General features: G+C 43.8%; 1 protein-coding gene and 1 long non-coding RNA gene across 4 annotated transcripts in view, besides 5 other annotated features; one reads left to right on the top strand and one right to left on the bottom strand.

The window, feature by feature from the left end:
• Positions 1-18,108, top strand: part of LOC105376652 (uncharacterized) — a 40,299-nt gene extending 22,191 nt beyond the window's left edge. For 2 of the 3 annotated variants that reach the window (XR_931239.3, XR_931240.3), the window contains exons 4-5: positions 13,417-13,572; positions 17,273-18,108. This is a non-coding gene — a long non-coding RNA (uncharacterized LOC105376652). The remainder of the gene's footprint in view (positions 1-13,416; positions 13,573-17,272) is intronic. The other variant, XR_931241.3, reaches the window with a different exon arrangement.
• Positions 1-23,460, bottom strand: part of PRDM11 (PR/SET domain 11) — a 140,951-nt gene that overhangs the window by 110,517 nt on the left and 6,974 nt on the right. The gene's annotated exons all lie outside the window — the stretch shown is intronic.
• Positions 13,661-13,955: an enhancer, noted in NCBI's record as "tiled region #15340; HepG2 Activating DNase unmatched - State 12:CtcfO, and K562 Activating DNase unmatched - State 12:CtcfO". NCBI's record gives its function as "activates a minimal TATA promoter and a strong SV40 promoter by Sharpr-MPRA in HepG2 and K562 cells {active_cell/tissue: HepG2 | K562}" and the evidence as "EXISTENCE:reporter gene assay evidence [ECO:0000049][PMID:27701403]".
• Positions 18,804-18,893: a silencer, noted in NCBI's record as "silent region_3284". NCBI's record gives its function as "represses an Ori minimal core promoter by ATAC-STARR-seq in GM12878 lymphoblastoid cells {active_cell/tissue: GM12878}" and the evidence as "EXISTENCE:reporter gene assay evidence [ECO:0000049][PMID:35858748]".
• Positions 21,241-21,535: a silencer, noted in NCBI's record as "tiled region #3485; HepG2 Repressive DNase matched - State 12:CtcfO". NCBI's record gives its function as "represses a minimal TATA promoter and a strong SV40 promoter by Sharpr-MPRA in HepG2 cells {active_cell/tissue: HepG2}" and the evidence as "EXISTENCE:reporter gene assay evidence [ECO:0000049][PMID:27701403]".
• Positions 22,331-22,869: an enhancer, noted in NCBI's record as "H3K27ac-H3K4me1 hESC enhancer chr11:45123275-45123813 (GRCh37/hg19 assembly coordinates)". NCBI's record gives its function as "activates a minimal SCP1, AML or CMV promoter by ChIP-STARR-seq in naive H9 embryonic stem cells {active_cell/tissue: H9 hESC(naive)}" and the evidence as "EXISTENCE:reporter gene assay evidence [ECO:0000049][PMID:30033119]".
• Positions 22,870-23,410: an enhancer, noted in NCBI's record as "H3K27ac hESC enhancer chr11:45122734-45123274 (GRCh37/hg19 assembly coordinates)". NCBI's record gives its function as "activates a minimal SCP1, AML or CMV promoter by ChIP-STARR-seq in naive H9 embryonic stem cells {active_cell/tissue: H9 hESC(naive)}" and the evidence as "EXISTENCE:reporter gene assay evidence [ECO:0000049][PMID:30033119]".

Raw genomic sequence — 23,460 nt, 5'->3', positions numbered from 1 at the left:
TCTCAATAGATGCAGAAAAGGCCTTTGACAAAATTCAACAACCCTTCGTGCTAAAAACTCTCAATTAGGTATTGATGGGACGTATCTCAAAATAATGAGAGCTATCTGTGACAAACCCACAGCCAATATCATACTGAATGGGCAAAAACTGGAAGCATTCCCTTTGAAAACTGGCACAAGACAGGGATGCCCTCTCTCACCACTCCTATTCAACATAGTGTTGGAAGTTCTGGCCAGGTCAATTAGGCAGGAGAAGGAAATAAAGGGTATTCAATTAGGAAAAGAGGAAGTCAAATTGTCCCTGTTTGAAGATGACATGATTGTAAATCTAGAAAACCCCATTGTCTCAGCCCAAAATCTCAAGCTGATAAGCAACTTCAGCAAAGTCTCAGGATACAAAATCAATGTACAAAAATCACAAGCATTCTTATACACCAATAACAGACAAACAGAGAGCCAAATCATGAGTGAACTCCCATTCACAATTGCTTCAAAGAGAATAAAATACCTAGGAATCCAACTTACAAGGGATGTGAAGGACCTCTTCAAGGAGAACTACAAACCACTGCTCAATGAAATAAAAGAGGATACAAACAAATGGAAGAACATTCCATGCTCATGGGTAGGAAGAATCAATATCGTGAAAATGGCCATACTGCCCAAGGTAATTTATAGATTCAATGCCATCCCCATCAAGCTACCAATGACTTTCTTCACAGAATTGGAAAAAATTACTTTAAAATTCATATGGAACCAAAAAAGAGCCTGCATCGCCAAGTCAATCCTAAGCCAAAAGAACAAAGCCGGAGGCATCACGCTACCTGACTTCAAACTATACTACAAGGCTACAGTAACCAAAACAGCATGGTACTGGTACCAAAACAGAGATATAGATCAATGGAACAGAACAGAGCCCTCAGAAATAATGCTGCATATCTACAACTATCTGATCTTTGACAAACCTGACAAAAACAAGCAATGGGGAAAGGATTCCCTATTTAATAAATGATGCTGGGAAAACTGGCTAGCCATATGTAGAAAGCTGAAACTGGATCCCTTTCTTACACCTTATACAAAAATTAATTCAAGATGGATTAAAGACTTACATGTTAGACCTAAAACCATAAAAAACCCTAGAAGAAAACCTAGGCAATACCATTCAGGACATAGGCATGGGCAAGGACTTCATGTCTAAAACACCAAAAGCAATGGCAACAAAAGCCAAAATTGACAAATGGGATCTAACTAAACTAAAGAGCTTCTGCACAGCAGAAGAAACCACCATCACAGTGAACAGGCAACCTACAAAATGGGAGAAAATTTTTGCAATCTACTCATCTGACAAAGGGCTAATATCCAGAATCTACAATGAACTCAAACAAATTTACAAGAAAAAGACAAACAACCCTATCAAAAAGTGGGGGGAGGATATGAACAGACACTTCTCAAAAGAAGACATGTATGCAGCCAAAAAACACATGAAAAAATGCTCATCATCACTGGCCATCAGAGAAATGCAAATCAAAACCACAATGAGATACCATCTCACACCAGTTAGAATGGCGATCATTAAAAAGTCAGGAAACAACAGGTGCTGGAGAGGAAGTGGAGAAATAGGAACACTTTTACACTGTTGGTGGGACTAGTAAACTAGTTCAACCATTGTGAAAGTCAGTGTGGCGATTCCTCAGGGATCTAGAACTAGAAATACCATTTGACCCAGCCATCCCATTACTGGGTATGTACCCAAAGGACTATAAATCATGCTGCTATAAAGACACATGCACATGTATGTTTACTGTGGCACTATTCACAATAGCAAAGACTTGGAACCAACCCAAATGTCCAACAACGATAGACTGGATTAAGAAAATGTGGCACATATACACCATGGAATACTATGCAGCCATAAAAAATGAGGAGTTCATGTCCTTTGTAGGGACATGGATGAAACTGGAAGTCATCATTCTCAGCAAACTATCACAAGGACAAAAAAACCAAACACTGCATGTTCTCACTCATAGGTGGGAATTGAACAATGAGAACACATGGACACAGGAAGGGGAACATCACACTCCAGGGACTGTTGTGGGGTGGAGGGAGGGGGGAGGGATAGCATTAGGAGATATACCTAATGCTAAATGACGAGTTAATGGGTGCAGTACACCAACATGGCATATGTATACCATGTATACATGTATACATGGTATACATGTGTAACAAACCTTCACATTGTGCACATGTACCCTAAGACTTAAAGTATAATAATAATAAAAAAAATACCATGATATCTTTTAAATGTCTCTAGAACCTGTACTGATAACCCACTTTCTTAGCTGATATTCTGTTTCTCTCTGTGTGTGTGTGTGTGTGTGTGTGTGTGTGTGTGTCTGTGTGTGTGTCTGTCTGTGTCTCTCTTCTTAGTAGGGGTTTATACATTTTATTTACTTATTTAAAGGCCTAACTTTTATCTTTGCTCATTTTCTCCACTGTGTATTTTTTTTCCTATTTGATTTCTGCTTTCATCTTTACTATTTCTTTCCTTCCACTTTCTTGAGGTTTAATTTGCTGTTGTTTATCTATCTTCCTGAGAGGGAAGCTTAGATTCATTAATTTTCCGTATATCTTTTTCTCTAAGAATTGCATTTAAGGCTATAAATGTTTCTGTAACCACAGCCTTTAGATGCAGCTCACAATTTTCATTATCCCACTCTAAATATTTGCTGTTGTAATGTTTCCTTTGGCCCATGGACTATTTAGCAGTGTGTTGCTTAATTTTCAAGCATTTAGAGATTTTCTAGTTGCCTTTTTATATAGATTTCTAATTAACTCCACTCCAGTTAGAGAGCATATTCTGTATAATTTCAGTTCTTTGAAATTTGTGTTAATTGCTTTATGACCCATTGTGTAGTCTATTGTGGTAAATGTTCCACAAGCACTTCAAAATAATATTCATTCTGCAGTTATTCAATATAATGTTGTATATACATTAACCAGATAAAATTGCTTAATTGTGTTGTTTAAATATTCAGTATTTCACTGTTTTTTGTTTGCTTGCTTGTTTTAGCATTTTCTGAGAGAAGTGTGTTAAATCTGTAACTCTGATTTTGAATTTGCCCATTTCTTTTTTAAAAATTCTGTTACTTTTGCTTTGCATATTTGAAGCTTTGAAATGAGGAGCATACTAATATGGGGAAGTTACTTCTTTAAGTCTACTTTATCAGATAGTAATATAACCACACCAGCTTTTTGTTAATGGTTTCCAGCAATATCTTTTCATTCTTTTCCTTTCAACTTGTGTCCTCCTATATTGTGTGTATCTCTTATAAACAACTAATATTTGCATCTTGTTTTTTTAGTTCAATCTGACAATTATTTCATATTATACTATTTATCCATTTATAATTAATGTAATTGCTGATATAGTTGGTAGTATCAAACTACCATCGTGTGATTTGATTTTTATTTGAACCATCTATTCTTCGTTTTTTAATTCCTCCTTTCCTGCCTTTCTTGACTTATCGACTATTTTTGTCACTTCTGTTAGCTTCGTGGTTATATGTTCTTTTTTTCTTTCAGTGGATCTAAACTGCATCCCTGAATTATTACAGTCTACCTTAAGGTTGCACTGTTACTTCTTCTTGAACAATGCAAGAACCTTCAATGCAAGAACCTTACAACAGTTTAACTCAACTTTATCTGCTCTTGCCCTTTGTGCTATTATTGTCATATATTGGTACTCATACATATATTATGAGCTGAAGATACATTGTCATTATTGCTGGTTTAAGTAATCAATATTGTTTTATGTTTACCTACATACTTATTGTCTTGGGTACTATTCACTCCTTCCTGTGGTCTGTTCTCTCTGGGCTCATTTTCCTTCACCATGAAGGACAGACTCTCTTTTGATTTATTGTGATACTGGTCTGCTGGTGATGATTCTGTATGTGGTTTTTTTTTTAATGAAAATATATTTCACCTTTAATTTTAAAGGACATTTTAGTGGATATAGAATTCTAAGTTGGCAATATTCTTTTTCTAGCTTCCATAGATTCTAGTGAAGACCAGTGGTCAGTTTTACTGTTACTTCTTTTAAGGTAATGGTTCCTTTTTTCCTCTAGCAGCTTTTTACTGTTTGTCTTTGTCTTTGTCTTTCAGCAGTTTATTATGAGCCTGCATGTGGTTTTACATTGTATCTATCCTGCTTGGGTTTTGCCTTGCTTTATAAAACTAAATCTGTGGTATTTGGAAAATTCTCAGGCATGATTTATTCAAATACTGGTTATGCCTCATTCCTCTCTCCTTTCTTTCTGATACTCCACATATGTGTATGTTAGAACTTTTGTTAGTACCTCACATGCCTTTATGCTCTGTTCTGTTCCCTCTCCCTCCCAGCTTTATTTCTGTGTGCTTCAGTGTGGATAATTTCTATTGAGTTCCAGTTCACTATCCAGTCATACACTGTGTTCAGTCTCCTGTTAAATACATTCAACAAATTCTTAAAATTCTGATATATTTTCAATTCTAGAATGGCCATTGGATTTTTAAGAGATATTCTAACTATTTTAATTCTCCACTTTTTAATCCATCTTGCGCATCTTTTCCTGTATTTATTTTCACATGCTGATCATGGCTGTTTTTATGTCCTTACTGCTAACTCCAGTAACTGGGTCAGCAGTGGCTCTGCTATTTTTTGTTCACATTTTCCCCCTTCCTTGCTCATCTCCTACTTTGTCACTGTCACTGTCACTGCCAGATGCTGCTCATAGAAGGACCATAGAGGCTATAGATAATATCTTTCAGTAATTAGGGTTTAGTCTTTTATTCTGTTAAGAAAATGGGGTAAGGGACTGATAATCTTGTGGCTGCATTACAGTATTAGTAAGACTCAGTCCGCCACTGGTACCTGCCTATTCTTCCTGGTATGGCCTTACCAGGTGTTTTTTTTTTTTTTTTTTTTTTTTTTTTTTGAGACAGAATCTCGCTGTCACCCAGGTTGGAGTGCAGTGGCACTCACTGCAGGCTCCACCCACTGGGGTTCACGCAATTCTCCTGCCTCAGCCTCCCGCGTAGCTGGGACTACAGGCGCCCTCCACCTCGCCTGGCTAATTTTTTGTATTTTTTATAGTAGAGACAGGGTTTCACCGTGTTAGCCAGAATGGTCTCGATCTCCTGACCTCGTGATCCGCCCAACTCGGCCTCCCAAAGTGCTGGGATTACAGGCGTGAGCCACCGCGCCCGGCCGCCTTACCAGGTTTTTCATTGAGAATCTGAAAGTTCCGTCTGACCTTGGAATGTTTTGAGCTTCCCTCTTTCATTTGCCTACTCTCACAAGTTCAAAATCTGACAGATGTTTCAGGAAGGAAACTAGTTTGTGATTCTTGCAAGTAGGTCCCTGGTCTAGTGTGATTTGGTCTCCTAACCACCTATGCAAGAGTTTCTCCTTTGTCATTATAGATCAGAGCCTCAGCTTGCTGTAGCTCCAGAACACAGAAAACTTCTGTGGAAGAATATGGTCTTGTGTTTGGACCTCTTTTAGGTTATAAATCATTGCAGCTGACCCAGCAACCACCAAAAGGGATTATAATTTTTCTCTCCCTCAGTGGAGTTTCTCTGACTGGGCCAAGGCAGACTGCCAGTCCATGCCCAAAACGGACTATTTCAACCCCATACAAACTCTGACAGCTCTTTTCCTTCCTTTTCAATTTCATGCATTTTTTCTTCTTTCCTAATTGCCCTAGCTAGAACTATCAGTGCTATGCTGAGTAGAAATAACAAGAGTGAGTATTCATGTCTTATTGCTGATTTTGGAGGAAAAACATTTTGTCATTCATACTTAACCCAATATGAAATGAGTTACAGTATTTTATTATATCTCCATAGATTTCATTTATCATATGGAGGAAGTTCCCATCTACTGCTAATTTGCTGAATGCTTTTATCACAAATGAGTGTTAAATTCTGTCAAATCCTTTTTCTCTGCATCTGTTGAGATAATTGTATGATATTTCCTCTTTATTCCATTAACAGGTGAATTGGTTTTGGAATGTTAAAACAAACTTGCATTCCCGGGAGGAAACTCACTTAGTCATGATGTGTCATCATTTTTATGTGTTGATGAATTTAATTTGCTAATATTTTTTATTTTTGGTAGATTTTATTTTTTGAAGTTTTAGATTTACAGAAAAATTGGGAAAACAGTACAGAGTTCCTATGCACCCCTAACCAATTTCTCCTAACTATTATCCTACATAACTATATTTGTTACAGTTAATCAAACAATATTTTGATACATTATGATTAACTAAAGTCCATAGTTCATTCATATTTCTTTAGGTTTCACCTGGTTTTTTGTTTTGTTGTTTTTCTCCTTTTCTAGGATTTTATCCAGGATACCACATTGCATTTAACTGTCAAGTCTCTTTAAGATCCTCTTGGTTATGGCAATTTCAAAGACTTCTTTTCCTTCTCTTTTTTTCATGATCTTGATAGTTTTGAGGTGTTCTGGCCAGGCATTTTGTAGGATGTCCCACTGTTGGAATTTGTTCAATTTTTTTTTAATGTCATGACTGTGGTTATGGTTTATTGGGTGGAAAATCACAGTTAAAGTGCCATTTTCACCACATCATATCAAGTATATATATTGTCAACATTATCTATAACTGTTAATGTTGGCCTTAGAGACCTGGCTGAGTTAGTGTTGGTCAGGTTTTCCCACAGTACAGTTACTCGTTTTCCCTTCTTTCCATACTGTACTCGTCGGAACGAAGTCACTATTTGCAGCCAATACCTAAAGAGTGGGGAGCTGTGCTCCTCCTCTTTTTAAATTAACTTTTTTTTTTTGAGATGGCATCTTGCTCTATCACCCAGGCTGGAATGCAGTGCTGTGATCATGAATCACTGAAGCCTTAGACTCCTGGGTTCAAGTGATCCTCCAGCCTCAGCCTCTTGAGTAGCTGGGTGTACAGGTGCACGCCACCACACCAGTCTAATTATATTTTTTCTTGTAGAGGAGGGTTCTTGCTATGTTGCTCAGGCTAGTCTCAAACTTCTGTCCTCAGGCAGTCCTGCAGCCTCAGCTTCCTAAAGTGCTAGGATGACAGGCATTAGCACCACACTCAACCTGCTTCTCCTCTTTGAGGGCTGAGCATCTTTAAATAAATTATTTGGAATTCTTCTGCATGAGAGATTTATCTGCCTTCTCCCATTTATGAATTTATTGCATCAGTGACTTATATCAGTATGGACTTATGGATATTTATTTTATGCTTTGGGTTATCATCTAATGGAACTTTATTAATTTTATTGTTCAAATTATTTCCACGTTGGCCACTGGGAACTCTTTTTTTTTTTTTTTTTTTTTGAGATGGAGTCTCATCTCACTCTGTTGCCCAGGCTGGAGTGCAGTGGTATTATCTCGGCTCATTGCAACCTGCCTCCCAGGTTCAAGCAATTCTCCTGTCTCAGCCTCCCAAGTAGCTGGGACTATAGACGCACACCACCACACCCAGCTAATTTTTGTATTTTTAGTAGAGACAGGGTTTCACCATATTGGTGAGGCTGGTCTCGAACTCCTGACCTCAGGTAATCCTCCCACCTTGGCCTCCCAAAGTGCTGGGATTACAGGCGTGAGCCATTGCACCCGGAGGCATTGGGAACTCTTTAAGTGGACTCCTGTTCTCCTTTGACAGCTCATCAATTTGTGAGTATTTTTTTCTTTCTTGCATTTGAGCCTTTCCCTACTTTCTAGAGCTACAAGATGTTCCAGGCTCATGTCATATATTTCCTTCCCCAGTTCTAGAATCAGCCATTTGTCCAAGGAGCCCTGATTCTTATTGAAGTGTGATACATCATATTAGTTTTCTAGGACTGCCATAACAAAGTACAAAAGACTGGGTGGCTTAAACAACAAAAAATTATTTTCTCACATTTCTAGCTATAAATTTCTAAGCACTTTTAGCTGCACTTCACTCATTTTGAGATATATTTTCGTTATTATTCAGTCCAAAATATTTTATAATTTTCTGTCTGATTTCTACTTTCACCAAGGAGTTATTTAAAGATATGTTAATATCTAATTATCTGAGGATTTTCTAGATACCTTATTGTCATTGCTATCCAACTTAATTCTATTGTTGACAGAGAACATACTCTGTAAAGTTTCAATCTTTTGAAAAATTTTAAGGCTTATTTTGTAGCTTAGTATGTGGTATGTCTTGGTGAATGTTCTATATGTACTTGCAAAGAATATGTACTCTGGAGATGTTTGACGTGGTGTTCTATAAATGGTGTTAAATCAAAGCACTTTATAGTGTTATTCATAATCTTCTATACCTTAACTGATTTCTGGTCAGTTAGTTCTGTTAATTTCTGAGACAGGGGTTGTAGTGTCTCCAAACATGACTGTACATTTTGTCTATTTCTCCCTTTAGTCTAGTCAGGATTGCTTTTTTATGTATATTGAAGGTGATTTATTAGGCACATACACATTTGTATGTAATTGTTACACCTTTCTGATATTTGTAATTGTTTGTAATTGTCATGCCTTTCTGATAAAGTGTTCTTCATCTCAGCTGATACTGATTGTTTTAAAACATGTTTAACCTGATAATAATATCACTGCTCTAGCTTTTTTTTTTCTTTTTTTCTTTTTTTTTTTTTGAGATGGAGTTTCACTCGTCACCCAGGCTGGAGTGCAATGGCATGATCTTGGCTCACTGTAAACTCCACCACCCAGGTTCAAGTGAGTCTCCTACCTCAGCCTCCCAAGTAGCTGGAATTACAGGCACCTGCCACCACACCCAGCTGATTTTTCTATTTTTAGTAGAGACAGGGTTTCACCATGTTGGCCAGGCTGATCTCGAACTCCTGACGTCAGGTGATCCACCCCCGTCAGCCTCCCAAAGTGCTGGGATTATAGGCATGAGCCACCACACCTGGCCTGCTCTAGCTTTCTAATGCTTGCATGATATAACTTTTTGTCTTCTTATACCTTCAACCTAACTATATATTTCTATTGAAAGAGTGCCTCTTATAGAGAACACAATTGGTTCTTTCTCTTTTAGCTCAGTCTGATAAGCTCTGCTTTTTAACTAGAGTGTTTAATCCATTTATATTTAATATAATTATTGACATAGTTGAGTATAGGCCTATCAATTTTGCTGTTGATTTTCTATTTGTCACCTGAATCTTTTGTTCCTGTCTTCCTCCTTTTTTGTTTTCTTTTGAGTTAAACATTTTTTAAAGAACCTTTTCTCTATTACTTTTTATCAAAACCTCTTTGCATTAGCAAAACCTCTTTGCATTTGTAATATTTCCTCTAGCAATTTTAATATGAGTCCTTACCTTATCATAGATATTTTGTCACTTCACATCAAAGTAAGAACCTTTGCTTTGTGTTAATTTTATTTTATATATATATAGACATACACACACACACACACACACATGCTATATACATTATGAGCTCCATAATACCGTGTTATAATTTTTGCTCCAAATAATTATATCTTTTTTAGATTAAGGAAATAAAGTTTTTTCCTTTATAACGATTTACATGTGTACTATTTCTAATGTTCTTCATTCCTTCCTGTAAATCTGAGTATCCTTCAGTGTAATCTCCCTTCAGCCTAAAGAACTTCTTTTTGTATTTCTTGTGAAACAGGTCTACTGGCAGTGAGTTTTCTCAATTTTCATTTATTTGAAATATCTTTGTTTCCCCATGTTTATGGATTTTTTTCTGGATATATAATTCTAAGTTTTTTTTTCCCTTTCAGCACATTAAAGATGGTATTTCATTATGTTCTGGCTTCTATTGTCTCTGATGATAACTCATTCATTCTTCATGCAAGTGTTCCTCTATGTGTGATATGGTTTTTTTGTGTGTTTGGTTGTTTTGGTTTGGTTTTTGTTTTCATTGGCTGCTTTCAAGATTTTCTCTCTCTTTGATCTTTAGACTATGATGTGCCTAGGAACTGCTTCCTTTTATTTTTATCTTTCTTGGGGTTCAGTGAGCTTATTGAGTATATAAGTTGTGTTTTTCACCAAGTTTGGGACAGTTTATCAAATAATTTTTCTGCTCTGGTATCAATTTTCTCTCCTTCTAAGACTTTAATGACATGTGTTAAGGAAACTAATATTATCTTACAGATTTCTGAGACCCTGTTTAGTTTATTTCAAACCTTTTTCCACTTCAGATTAGATACTTTCTATTTATCAAGCTTCAAGTTCATTGACTCTTCTGCCAGTTTGTTTGTTGTTATGCATATCAGTGAATTTTTTAAATTTCATATATGGTACTTTTCAAGTCTAGAATTTCTATTTCTATTTGGTTCTTGTTTAGAGTTTCCACTTCTTTGCTGTGATTTTCCCTCTATTCATTCATTATAAACATTTTTGTTCTTTAAGTCCTTGAGCATATTTATAAAGTCTGCTTTAAATTCCCTGTGCTAATTCTAACATCTTTGACATGAGTGGTTCTATTGCACTTCCCCTGAGAATTGGGACAAGGATGCCCATTTTTACCACTTCTATTCAACATAGTACTGGAAGTCCTGGCCAGAGCAACCAGACAAGAGGAAGAAATAAAGGGCATCCAGATTGAAAAAGAGGAAGTCAAACTTTCACTATTCACTGATGATATGACTGTATACCTAGAAAACTCTAAAGACTTATCCAAAAAGCTCCTAGATCTGATAAACAAATCCAGTAGAGCCTCAGGATACAAAATCAATGTGATTTTTTGTAAAAAAAAAAAAAAACAAAACACACACACACACACACACACACACACACACACACAAATCAGTAGCACTCTTATACACCAACAACAACCAAGCTGAAATTCAATCATGAACTCACTCCCTTTTACAACAGCTGCAAAATAATAAATAAATAAATAATTTAGGAATATACTTAACCAAAGAGGTGAAAGATCTCTACAAGGAAAATTATAAAACACTGCTGAAAGAAATCATAGATAACACAAACAAATGGAAACACATCCCATGCTCATGGATAGGAAGAATCAATATTGTGAAGATGACCATACTGCCCAAAGCAATCTACAGATTCAATGCAATTCCCATCAAAATACCATAATCATTCTTCACAGAACTAGAAAAAACAATCCTAAAATTGTGGAACCCAAAAAATCCTGTATAACCAAAGCAATACTAAGCAAAAAGAACAAATCTGGAAGCATCACATTACTCGACTTCAAACTATATTATAAGGCTATAGTTACCAAAACAGTGTAGTACTGGTATAAAAACACACATGTAGACCAATGGAACAGAATAGAGAACCCGGAAATAAAGCCAAATAAGTACAGCCAACTGCTCTTTGATAAAGCATACAAAAACGTAAACTGGGGACAAGACGCTGTATTCAATAAATGGTGCTGGGAAAACTGGCAAGCCACATGTAGAAGAATGAAACTGGATTTCCATTTCTCACCTTATACAAAAATCGATTCATGGTGGATCAAAGACTTAAATCCAAGACCTGAAACCATAACATCTCTAGAAGATAACATCAGAAAAACTCTTCTAGACATTGGCTTAGGCAAAGAATTCATGACTAAGACCCCCAAAACAAATGCAACAAAAACAAAAATAAATGAATGGGACCTAATTAAACTAAAAAGCTTCTGCACAGCAAAAGAAATAATCAGCAGAGTAAACAAACAACCCACAGAGTGGGAGAAAATATTCATAAACTATGCATCCAGCAAAGGACTCATATCCAGAATCTGCAAGGCAGTCAAATTAGCAAGAAACACACACACACACACACACACAAATAATCCCATCAAAAAGTGGGCAAAGGACATGAATACACAGTTCTCAAAGGAATATATACAAAGAGCCAACAAACATACGAAAAAATGCTCAACATCACTAATCATCGGGGAAATGCAAATCCAAACCACAATGAGATACCACCTTACTCTTCCAAGAACGGCCATCATTAAAAAGTCAAAAAACAATAGGTGTTGGCATGGATGTCATGAAAAGGGAACACGTTTATGTTGCTGGTGAGAATGTAAATTAGTACAACCACTATGGAAAACAGTATGGAGATTCCTTAAAGAGCTAAATGTAGAACTACCATTTGATCTAGCAATCCCACTACTGGGTGTCTACCCAAAGAAAAATACATCATTATATGAAAAAAACACCTGTACACCCATTTATGCCTCACAATTTGCAATTGCAAAGTTATGGAGCCAACCTAAGTGCCCATCAACCAACCAGTGGATAAGAAAATGTGTTATATATACACCATGGAATATTACTCAGCCATAAGAATGAAATAATGTCTTTTGCAGCAACTTGGTTGGAGCTGGAGGCCATTATTCTAGGTGAAGTAACTTGGGAATGGAGAGCCAAATATTGTATGTTCTCACTTGTAAGTGGGAGCTAAGCTATGAGGATGCAAAGGCATTAGAATGATATAAGGGACTTTGGGGACTTGTGGGGGAAGGTTGGGAGGGTAATGGATAAAAGACTACATATTGGGTACAGTGTACACTGCTTGGGTGACCGGTGCACTAAAATCTCAGAAATCACTGCTAAAGAAGTTATTCATGTAATCAAAGACCACCTGTACCCCAAAAAACTATTACAATAAAAATTAAAGCTAAAAAAAGAGGTACTCAGAAAGTTGTCTGGGTGTTAGACATAGTCTCCCATTGTACAGTATCAGCCTGATTTGATCACCAGGATCAAATGTGCCACACAGCAGAGTGACTTCCTCCCATGTTGCCAGTTCAGTGGCAGGAGGCACCCATAGTGTCCAGTCTCATGGACCAACTCAATGGGCCCCTGGTTGTGTTCCGCGATGGAAGCATTTCTCCCTCGGGAACAAAACCTTTCAAATCGACAGAGCCCGGAGGGTTCGAGTGCATGTGGTTATTAGGTGTAATAGTGAGGAAAGCCACTCCCACTCTCTGATTTGGGGCCCTGTTATTGTGGATGTGGGAGGAACCATACCTTCTACTGGTCACCTCATCAAAGCATATTCTTCATCCTGTAAGACAGAACTTTAACCTTTCAGGCCATTGTCTCTCAAGCAGAACCTTAACTGAGTGTTCACATGGCCATTCCACCCTTCAGTTGGGCCAGCTGCTTCCAGATGAGAGAGAGTCCATGATAAGACTAGCGATTTCCACGGGCCCAAGGTCCCTGTTGTCCTGTCGCTGTGAAATGGGTTCGTTGGTCCGAAGCAATGTTGGGTGGAATGCCGTTTGGCATAGAGGGCACCCCGTAAGTCCAGAGATGGCAAAGAAGACGAGTAAATATCAAGAACCAAAAATAGGGAGACATGCTGGGAGAGAGATGGGAGGGGAAGTGGTGGAGGGACAGGGTGGGATGGATTGTAAGAAAGATAAATCTTCATCTTCCATCACAGTAAGTCAAAGATGGTGTCGAAAATGGTGAAATCAAGAACTAGTGCTTAGAATTATGGAGATTTAAAAACAGAAGAGACACCTCCCAGAGTTGCAAGTGGTCGCCTGTCCCAGAGAGCTGGTGAGATGAGGTGGGGAGGTGGCAGCTGAGTTTTATGGTAAGTCTCGGGGAACCATTGGACGTCGAAAACTGTAAAGCTTTTATTAAAAATAGTTGTGGAAATAGAAAGAAAAAAAGGGGGGTAAGGGGGGAATCTGACTCTTAGATTGGAATCTGGAGAGCTGATTGTCTTCTCCAAGTTTTCTGCCACCCAGGAGCAGAACCAGTGGTTTCTGGGCAACGCAAAGAAAGGCGCCTCTTGTTTGGGATACTTTACTGCCATCTGCTGGACAAATGAAGTAACACCTTTACAAATGGGTGAGGGAATGGGATGTGAAGCTCCTTGCACCCCGCACCTGGATTATGTCCTGCACAACCTGTATAGAGCAAGCGAGGCCTTGCAATTCGTGGCCACCGGTCCAGGACACTCCTGAAGGGGCCTTGTTTGGTGAGGTCGTTGCGCCGGGGAGGCCAGAGCAGCGGCCTGTCCTCTTTCTGGGCACTTTAGCCCCCAGGTCAGAGGAGAGCCCCTTGGCGGTTCCAGCTCACAGATAGTTGGGTCCGGCTGCATGTTGCTTTCAGGGTATTTCTCCTACCTGGCCCCATCAGTGACTGGCTTAGAAGAAATTCCTCAAACTCCTACCTGGCCCTTTAGAAAAATTGTAATGCTATCTAAATGCCCCACCTCTCATCCCCACCCCCCTTTTACGTTTTCCTGGTGAGTTCAATTAGGGTTGGGGGTGACATGTGGGCAAGCCAGATCTCTGTAAGGGCATGTACTCAGGGCTCTCATTTTTCTGGCTCCGAAGCTTAGCTGCCACTTCTTGGGTCTGCATAAGGATTAGTTGTTCTTGGAAGAAAAATAAAAGCCACCCCGATCCAAGAAAGGAGATGAAAAATTCTTTGTGTGAAGCTTAGCATTGCCAAAGGTGTAGGTACTGTCCCTCCCAGGGGTGTTTGCACGCAAAGTGTATAAACTACAGAAATAAAGGAGAGGTTTGGATGAAGGTCACTTTGGGTCACTGAGTTTTCCTAGTCAGAATCCTGACATATAGAGGGCTGATAACCACGTCTATGCTATCAGCAGGTCACACAGGGCACAGATGCCCACCTGCTCACTGCTGCAGTGCCTCCAGCTTTGAAAGGAGTGGTGACTGTGAGCAACCCTGGACACTGGAATGGGGAGGAAACATCCCTGAACAGGGCTTAGAGAGTATCATGGAACCAGAGACTCAGAAAGGGAAGGAATTTTAGAGACAAAAGCCCACCCTTCCCCATCTAGTGCTTCAATCTTTCTACCTTTTTGCTACCAGAAGGTTATCAGCTTACACTTACATACCCCTAGGGACAGGAGCTCACTACCTGATAAGCAGGCCCTGCTTTCCCTGGAAAGATCTGACTCAGAAAGCACTTCCTCCCACCATCCTAAATCTGCCCTGTTCCATCTCCCACACCTCAGTCTTGGTTGTGGCCCAGTGGAGCCACAGAGAACAGATACTCTCCCTCCTCCGCAGGATAGCCTCTGAATATTTTGAGAATGAGTAGGGCTCCTCCGAGTGGTCTCCTTTCTAGGGAGAGTTGATTAATTAGGACTCTTTTCATCTGTGCATGGTAGAGACAGGGCCTCACCATGTTTAGGGGCAACATGAGGAATTTCTGGTCACATAGCCCTGCGACATCCAAGGTGATGCTGGGTCAAGGAGAGTGAGTGATGTTGTCAGGGCACTGCTGTCTCTGGGTGTCCCTTTTCTTGAGCTGTGCTATTTTCCTTTCAAGGCAGGGGTGGGTAGAACCATGGCCACTGGCATTGCCAAGCCTGCATCCTACCTGTAGTAGCAAGAGACCGCCACTCCTCACCACTCTGGGTCAGGGCCAACTGCAGTTTCAGAGGGACAGAAATAGGAGGTGACCCAAAGAGGGTGCCTAAGCACAGGTCAGAGGTGAAAAGTCAGACTCAACCTTTCCTGAGGGGCGGGGACAACATTTTTCGGTTTCCAGCCTTGAGTGCCCAGAGGCCTGTGGCCAGGGGTGTTGACAGTCTCACAGGCTAAGCCCCGACATCTTCCTGGAGAGGCAACTTTCTTCACTGGAAGTCATTTAAAGCCCTATTTTTAGATTTAAACAAAAATGGAAACATTATGGAGCAGAATGCAGAATCTGCGTGTATTTTTTGAGACAAAACCCAAGACTTCAAAGAAATTTCACACTTGTGTCAGCTGCTTCAGGCAGGCTGCCTGGCCTGCGGGTGCATGTGTTAATTCTTGGTTGGCATTAGTGGGTATTTCAGGGGCAGGCTGAGAAAGTCTGAGTGGCACTGGGCCTGGGTCCCCACATAGCTACAGGCAGGGCTGGGGAGAAATGGGTCCAAGGACTTCAAAGACAGCTGCCACTGAGAGGCCCCTGGTGCCTCTGGGCACCACATTCCCTGAAAGGAGGCAGCTCGTCCTCACTCGGGAGTGAGGCCCCACCATGAGGACACACCTGCCTCTGGAATCCTGTCCAAGGGCAGGAGCCAGAGCCCAGGCTGAGCAAGGGATCCGTGGGCCCCAGCAGGAAATGCCAGCCGAGAGTGCAGGAGGCAGTGCCTGGCTGCTGCTTCCAGCTTTTCACAGAGCAGTGGGCACATGGGCAGGAGTGATCTTTGAAATATTTAACCCCAGAAGCTCATGGGACCAACAGTCAGAACAGACCTGGCCTGGTACTTGAGCAGGTCCCAGGGGCCCAATTGGACCAAGGCCACCCCTCAAGCTGCTGCATCATGGGGAGACACGGGGATCCCACGTAAGAGGCCAGGGCAGCAGGGCAGCGGGTCACACTCATGGGGAATTAGACAGCAGCTATTTACCAACTGGAGTGGACACATGCTGATATTTTAACAACCAGGATGGCAGCACTGGCTGAAAATGAGCCACGTGCATGGGTCTGATCAAGCGAGATTAAGATGAATCCAGGGCGGGGTGCAGTGGCTCACGCTTGTAATCCCAGCACTTTGGGAGGCCAAGGCCAGGAGTTTGAGACCAGCCTAGTCAACATGGTGAGACCCTGTCTCTACTAAAAATACAAAATACACACACAAAATAAGTTAGCCAGGCATGGTGGTGTAGACCTGTAGTCCCAGCTACTTGGGAGGCTGAGACATGAGAATCACTTGTACCCTGGAGTTGGAGGTTGCGATGAGTTGAGCTCTCACCACTGCACTCCAGCCTGGGTGACAGAGCGAGACTCTGTCTCACAAAAAAAAAAAAAAATCCAACCCACATTTATTGAGCACTTATTATATGCCAGGAACTGTGCTGGAGCCTTTATGTATATTAACTAGTTTAATTTGTACAATGCCACGCAAATCTATCAGTTCATTTAACACTACAGAGGATTGGTGTGAAAGCAACACGGAAAAGCCAGTCAGCAAACCTGACAGGCTTAGAGGAACCCCACCCCTACCCCTGCCCTGTCCCCCACTCAACTAGAGATGGGCATTTCCTTAAAGGCAGATGGCACAGAAGTCCAGACCTCCCTCTTGGCTTTCCCACTGCACCCCATCCACCCTCTGTTCTGCTTCATCAGTTGTCCACATTTGACATTCATTAGACTTACTCTTCACAACTGTATACACAAAACCATGTGTATCCATGCTGGTGGGGAGCATAAGAGGTTCTCAAGGGTCGTTTTGTGTGTACCTAATTTTTGCCTTACTGATTTAGAACTTGCCCCTGAAATGGGCTATGACTCATTGAACTATAATTAGCCCCGTTTTGCAGGTGAGAAAGTGGAGTTCGAAGATGTCATCAGCCCAGGTCACACAGATGGTGGAGACCAGTGTGGAGCCCGGGAGTGGGCTGAGCAGAGCATCTGGACTTTGAGCTTCCATCAGACCCTGAGATAGTCACCTGTCCTGGCTGCCTGGTGACCCTGGTGTGCTAACGTGGCACTTATCTTGCTCTATGGAGGCCCCTGGGCCCCCTAAACACCAGGTGGGTGCCTTCAGCCAGCCCCATACTGACCTGTGAAGCCCAGGTATTGCTGGCCAACCCACCCCACTCACAGACAGAAGCAGTTCTCCATCTTTTGGCTTTAGCAGATCTGCTTCATTTCTCCTCCCCACAAAGCCTGGACTTTGTTCTGGGGGTATCCCTGTTTGCAGTGAAGCTTTTTCACTCAGTGCTCAATCTGAGCCCAACTCCACCCCACATCTCTGATTCATAGACTTTTGTGACTGCCTTGACCAGTAGAGTATGGCAGAAGATGCTCTGTAACTTCCCAGGCTAGATCTAGAAAATGCCACGCATTTCTGCCTTGCTCTCCTGCGACATCCACTCTTAGAACCCAGTTGCTGTGCTAAAAAGAACTCACAGACCACGTGGAGTGGAGCAGATGGGTCAGTGTCCCAGGTGGCAGCCCGTGTCGGCCTCAGACCTGCACGTGAGGATGCCCACCAGAGGGTTCCTGCCACCACCGTCAAGTCACCCCAGCCTTAATCTTCCAGCCGGCGCCTCAGGCATTATGGGCAGAGGTAAACTGTCTCCATGATGCCCTTTCCAAATTTCTGACCCACAGAATCCATGGCTATAATAAAATGGCTGTCTTATGTGCTCAATTTTGGGGTGGTTTGTAGCATAGCAGTATAACTAGAACATCTAGCTCGTGAGAGAACCAGCAAAGAAAGCAAAAATCACCCCAGCCTATAAAGGGCCCTGAGGGTGGTGGGACCCATGGGTGACAGGAAACCAATCCCTGCACCCCAAGAGGTGGCAGGGCCTCCAACGAGAACGGCTGTGTGGCTTGCGAGGGAGCCTGCACCTTAAGCTGGGGCTGCCAACGGGGTGTAAACTGCTGAGCCCCTGGAAGCGCAGGAGCTTGGGACCTCCTACCTCTACAGACATGGCCAGCCTGGGCTTGAGGCCAGAGGGACTGCAGTGACCCCAGAGGCCCTTTCCTTCCCTCTGGGGCCACGGACACTTGCTGTCATCTGTGCTCTCTCAGGTGGGGGAAGTTCAGGCGTGGGTGAGCCCAGGAGGAGGAACTGGAGAGAAAATTTGAAAGCAAATGTGAAAACGGATGATTTCTTGCACATTTGAGTTTGCAAAGTAAAAGCCTTCTCGGTGCCAGGAACTCTTTGTTGCCTAAAGGAAATCATGTTAGAAGGGTCGGTCCAGCCTGACTTCATGGTCTCAGAGATGTGTGACCCTCACCCCTGGAGAGGCCTCTGTGGCCCTGGGGCTTAGCACCAAGCACTTTGTAGGGGTCTCAGAAATGCTGCCCACTAGAGCAGAGGGCTTCTGGGAAGAGCCATGGGCTCCTCCACTGCCTTGTAGCAGAGGCTGCCCCCAGGGAGAGGGAGGTGGGATCAGAGCCTGAGGCTACGTCCTGGCAATTGTTGTTGTGGCCACCAGGTGGCGGGCCAGGGCCATGCCAAGCTGTTGGGAAGGGCAATCCCAGAGGGGCCTGGACTGGGAGGCCCAGCTGCTTCCATGGCTCTGCTGTCACCACGGCTGGAGGGAGGGGCTGCAGAGTCAGCTGTAGCAGTGGAGGCTGAGGCCCTCTCACAGTGATGAGGTGGCTTTCAGAAGGCCTGAGCACCTGTGGTTCCCCTCGAGGCCTGGTGTGCAGAGGTCTGGCTTCCAGTCCCAGCTCTGCTGTGCAGCCTCAGACAAGCCCTTTCCCTCTCTGATAGATGAGGGTTCTCACTAGATGAGCTCAAGGCTTTTGCAGCACCTGGTGGCTATGACCAGTTGGGTGGCCTTAGGTAGGTCATGGGGTGCTATGGTCTGAATGTGTACTCCTCAAATTCCCACATTGAAACCTAATCACCGATGTGATGGTATTAGGAGGTGGGGCATTGAGGAGGCAATTAGGCCATGAGGACAGTTGACTGGGATTAGTGCCCTTATTAAATAGGTCTGAGGGAGCTCTTTCATCACTTATACTCTGTGAAGATACAGCAAGAAGTGCCATCTGTACATGAGAAAGTGGGTCTTCACCAGACACCAAATCTGGGGCACCTTGATCTTGGACTTCCCAGCTCCCAGAACTATAAGAAATACATGTTTGCTCTTTGTAAACCACCTAGATTATGGTATTTTTGTTATAGCTGCCCAAGCAGACTAAGACATGGGGCCACTGGCCCCGTGATGGGAATGGGGTGGAATTACATGACCCCTGTCCAGGATGCAGGAGGAGGAGATGGTCCCAGGAGCTCCGTGAAGGAAGGAGGCCTGGGAAGCTGCTTGGACATCACAAGGCATCGAGAACCCAACTCTGGGTCCCCGATCTGAATTAACCTCAGGGCTGGGATGATATTCCTATTGCTTTTCTAAAGTGCCCCACCCAGTCCCTTTAGCCGTATTGGTGGTTCTGTGTCATCTGCAGCACTGAGGTTTCTGGGCAGGTTTTAGGCCACCTCCCCCCAAAACCTTTGTTCCTCTTCCCTGGGCTGTGTTTCTGCCATGAGTCACCTTGGGGCTGAGGTCCCAGGTGGGAGATGGGTCATAGCTGGGTGGGGTCTGAAGTGTCTGTGCCTCAGTTTCCTCATCTGCAAAATGGAGAGGCTCTTGCCCATCCTGTAAGGTCAGTAGGAGGACCAGAGTCTTCACTCCATGGTCTCACTCAGCTATCACAGCAACCTTGAGCAGCAGGAAGGGCACGTGTCCTCGTCCCCATTTTGCAGATGAGAAACCCGACCCCCATGGATGAGAAGCAGCTTGCCCCCTTTCATCCAGAGGATCCTGAATTCAGACCCAGATCTGCCTGTCCAGCCCTGTGCCCTGTGCTGCCCTGCTGCCTTCTTCTGCCCTTACTCCTTCTGGCCAGCTGATGCCTGCTTTCTTGAGAGAAGTTCCTCTGGTGCCTCATCACCTGGAAGAGCCAGGTCTCCTGGGAACAAGTGGACAACATTTTGGTCTTGTGCTTTGCCAGGTGCAGTGGCCCTTGAGGGCTAGCCTGTCCACACAGCTCTGTTGCCCTGGGCCCTGCTCAGCCTATCCTAGCTTGAGGGCTATGCCCAGGCGAAAAAGTCTAGGGCACGGAATTAGATCATCTAGAGCAAGTTTTCACCAAGCCTCAATCCCTCAGCTATAAAAAGTAAGTCAACTTACAGGGTCATTGCAAAATAAAGCACAGCTATATTTGAAAGTGCTGAGTGACAGCAGGGATAACCATCGCCCTCAATGCATCCTGACTTGGTGCCAGGCCCTGAGCTAAGCCCCTTTCTTACATGATTTCTCTTGGTTTTCACCGTTAAAGGTAGATTAGTGTTATTGCTTCCTTTCTTGTTGAGGTATAATTTTTATATATATAATTTATATATAATATATATGTTATATATTATATGTTTATATTATATATACTATATATAGTATTACATATAATGTATATATTATATATACAGTAAAGTACACAAACTTTGTGTACAACTCAATGACTTTTTAAAACCGTGTGACCATCAAGACAGAAGTATTTCTGACACCCTCAAAGGCCCCCTCAAGCTCCCTCTTGGTCAATACCCTGCCAAAGGTTAACACTTAAGTTTGGGTTATTTTTCCTGGTTTTACAGATGGGGAAACTGAGGCTCAGGGAGGAACTGTGAACTGCTCAAAGTCACAAAGCTGCAAAACGGTAGGGCCTAGATTTTTCTGTCTCTACCAAAGCACATGGTGATCCATATAGGCTATACAAGTTATTTCCTCTTCCTCTTTCCTCATCTCCCTCTCATCTTCCTCCTCTTCCTCCTCCAACTTTTCCTCCTTCACCAGTCCCCCCATTTGCTGTAGTTTCATATGTCTACCATCAGATGGCGCCAAAGGACCAACTGCAGAGTCCAGGTTGGGCTCCAAGGCCGGGGAGGAGGCAGGCCCGGCGGGGTGGTCAGGGTTTCTGGGCTTTGGGGAGGGATGCAGGGGAAAGCTGCTGGTGACCATCCTGAGTCCTGTCCAGTAGACATGGCAGAGGCAACTGTCCAGTGATGACCAGACAAGAGAATGAAAATGCAAGGCTAGGGCTCACGATTATATGAGCACTGGGCTGGGAGTAGAGAGACTTGGGTTCTCTGTTACTCTCATCACACTCTGAGTCAGCTTCCTGCCCACACAGTGAGTGGGCCTTCCCCCTCCAGGGTAAACAGTCCTGCCTGTCTCTCTGCATCTGCTCTTCTGTACATCAGGCCTGCTCTCCCTTCCTCGGTCGACCAGTTCACACTAATCAGCTTGGCAAGCCCAGCCCAATTGCTGCCATTCCCAGGAAGCCTTCCCTGACTGCTCTGGCATTGAACTGATTACCTTGGCTGCCCCTGTGCAATGGGCCAGGCACCACCTTCTGTGGCCAGAGGCTCGCCTGGCGTTTCCAGCATCCACCAGGGCGGCCAGCACAGGGCTGGGGGCCCAGGGTGTGTGTCACAGGTCATCTGGACCTAATGGACTGGGATGGCAGGGGGGAAGGAGGCTGTGGCACGGTGCAAGGGGGGCTGGACCTAATGGACTGGGGTGGTATGGGGGAAGGAGGCTGTGGCACGGTGTGAAGGAGGCTCCCACAGAAGACGTTATTGCTCTTCTACTCCCTTCCTGGGAGTGGCTGGATTGCAGAGGGCAGTGTTGGGGCCCCAGCTGGGGTGCTTCCCCTCATGCCGGCCCCAGGGAGTGCTGCAAGGCTGAACTTTAGTCTTTCCTCATCTGTGTCCAGCTAGCATCTCCCCGGGAAAGCCAGCTTTCCAGAAACTAAGACAGGAAGAGCCTTTGGGGATCATTAAACACACATCGGCCCAGGTCACACAGGCTTTCGGCAAAGAGCCTGTGACTCTGCTCAGCCTCCAGCTCTGAGCCCTGAACGCCTTCTTCTTCCTCCGCTCAGCCTCCAGCTCTGAGCCCTGAACGCCTTCTTCTTCCTCCGCTCAGCCTCCAGCTCTGAGCCCTGAACGCCTTCTTCTTCCTCCGCTCAGCCTCCAGCTCTGAGCCCTGAACGCCTTCTTCTTCCTCCGCTCAGCCTCCAGCTCTGAGCCCTGAACGCCTTCTTCTTCCTCCGCTCAGCCTCCAGCTCTGAGCCCTGAACGCCTTCTTCTTCCTCCGCTCAGCCTCCAGCTCTGAGCCCTGAACGCCTTCTTCTTCCTCCGCTCAGCCTCCAGCTCTGAGCCCTGAACGCCTTCTTCTTCCTCCGCTCAGCCTCCAGCTCTGAGCCCTGAACGCCTTCTTCTTCCTCCGCTCAGCCTCCAGCTCTGAGCCCTGAACGCCTTCTTCTTCCTCCGCTCAGCCTCCAGCTCTGAGCCCTGAACGCCTTCTTCTTCCTCCGCTCAGCCTCCAGCTCTGAGCCCTGAACGCCTTCTTCTTCCTCCGCTCAGCCTCCAGCTCTGAGCCCTGAACGCCTTCTTCTTCCTCCGCTCAGCCTCCAGCTCTGAGCCCTGAACGCCTTCTTCTTCCTCCGCTCAGCCTCCAGCTCTGAGCCCTGAACGCCTTCTTCTTCCTCTGCTCAGCCTCTAGCTCTGAGCCCTGAACGCCTTCTTCTTCTTCTTCTTCTTCTTCTTCTTCTTTTTTTTTTTTTTGAGACAGAGTGTTGCTCTGTCACCCAGGCTGCAGTGCAGTAGTGCAATCTCACCTCACTGCAACCTCAGCCTCCTGGGTTCAAGCAATTATCCTGCCTCAGCCTCCTGAGTGGCTGGGACTACAGGTGCAGACCACCATGCCCAGCTAATTTTTGTATTTTAAGTAGAGACAGGGTTTCACCATGTTGGCCAGGATGGTCTCGATCTCCTGACCTCGTGATCTGCCCACCTCGGCCTCCCAAAGTGTTGGGATTACAGGCGTGAGCCCATGACCGGCCAAATACCTTCTTTTGACACTTGAAGGAGACCTCCCAGGTCTGAGGACTGGGCAAGTCTCTGCTCTGCAGCCTGACAGCACCCCCTCCCTAACTGGAAGTTCTCCTTAGCTCTCTCCTCTCATGGAACAGACACACCTCTCAGCCC

The sequence above is a fragment of the Homo sapiens genome, chromosome 11, assembly GCF_000001405.40.
Source record: "Homo sapiens chromosome 11, GRCh38.p14 Primary Assembly".
NCBI lineage: Eukaryota > Metazoa > Chordata > Mammalia > Primates > Hominidae > Homo > Homo sapiens.
Note: the sequence above shows the minus strand (reverse complement) of the source record. Positions and strands in the feature narration are given on the sequence as shown.